Source organism: Homo sapiens, chromosome 9, assembly GCF_000001405.40.
Source record: "Homo sapiens chromosome 9, GRCh38.p14 Primary Assembly".
NCBI classification, from domain to species: domain Eukaryota; kingdom Metazoa; phylum Chordata; class Mammalia; order Primates; family Hominidae; genus Homo; species Homo sapiens.
In genome coordinates this window covers 63014068-63015689 of record NC_000009.12, presented here as the reverse complement: position 1 = coordinate 63015689, position 1622 = coordinate 63014068, and positions in this window count along the sequence as shown.

The window sequence follows — 1622 nt, the reverse complement described above, 5'->3', positions numbered from 1 at the left end:
CTTTAATCCATTTTTATTTGATTTGATTTTTTTGTATGGTGAGATGGGTTTAATTTTATCCTTCTGCATATGGTTATTCAGTTTTCCCAGGATCATTTATTGAAAAGACTGTTGTTTTCCCAGTGTATGTTCTTGATGCCTTTGTCAGAGATGAATTGTTTGTAAATGTGTAGATTTGTCTGCGATCTCTATTCTGTTCCACTGTCCTATGTGTCTGTTTTTATGCCAGTAGAAATATATTGGCAATAATTAGTACAGAAGAGCTGAAACAATGAAATGACAAAAGTGAATTATACTGATATAATTCATTATGCTCACTAAATGCAATAGCATACAGCTAGGAAAACAAAGTAGTGCACACGGTATTAAAATACAACACAATTCAATATACACAGTGCTCACAGTGGCCATCGTTAGAGTGTTGAAGAAGGGGATGTAGTCAGCAAAAGTTGTACAGGTGACTTCAAAAGTAATCATAAGCACTTATGATTACTTTTGGCTTAATTTCTTAAACCAAGACTGGAGACACAGGTGTTCATTATGTGCTTATTATATATATAAAATAAATATTTTATAAATATATTGTTTCTATTCAGTATTTAATAAAGTAAATCAGTAGAAAAGGTTAAAAAGCAATGCACACATATTTCAAATATTTTTTGCTCCAAATTATATAAACATTGCATAGTTATTGCCCTGGGCCTGGCAAGGTGACTCACACCTCTCATCCTAGCACTTTAGGAGACTGAGGCAGGAGGATAGCTTCAGCCCCAGAGGTCAAGGCTGCAGTGAGCCTTAATTGCACTACTGCACTCCAGCCTAGGTGACAGAGCAAGATGCTGTCTGAAGATAAAAATAAAAATAAGTTAATAAATATATGTTTATATATTAACTGATTTTATTAACTATATATATATATATAGTTGTTGTCTTGGTCTATAGGCAATCTTACAGTGCTTAAGACTTTGATACTGAGAACAGATCTCCTAGGTATATGCTATGTTTCTGGGGTGATATGATGCTCTCATCTGGCCTCCGTGAGCCTAATTCTATCTTACATTTACCCCACTCTTCAACAACAACTTGGGGAGGTGTCCCTAAACATTCCTAGGTGAACCCAAACCTGTGGCCCTCAACACATTTCTAGGTAAAGCAAGCTCCTGACATATCTGTGGATATCCTCTCACTGGAAGAAGGGGGAAGAGACCATCTCAAAATAATTCATTTAATATAGCTTTTCAGCATTAATTTTATTTTGATAAAGAGACACACAGTAAATAAAATTTCTAAAAAACTATAAACTTTCAAGCATTCTCACGCTAAATCTAGCCCTGCTTACATGCCAGGGAAATATAAAGGTAATCTGTTTCTCAACCTGACCAGGATGCTACAGTAATTAAAAATAAACTCAATCCCTGGATCCCTACCAAAGGGACATTTCATATGGATCAAAGTTCTGGAAAAATTATTTGTCTGGAAATAGACTAATTCTCCAAAATATAATTGAAATAACAGCCTCTGGAAAGGGCCAAATACGACTCTTAATGAAACAACAGCTAAATATAGGTCTGATGCTCATTCCGTGTGGACAACAATAGCAGCCATTCCCACAAATGGCTGAT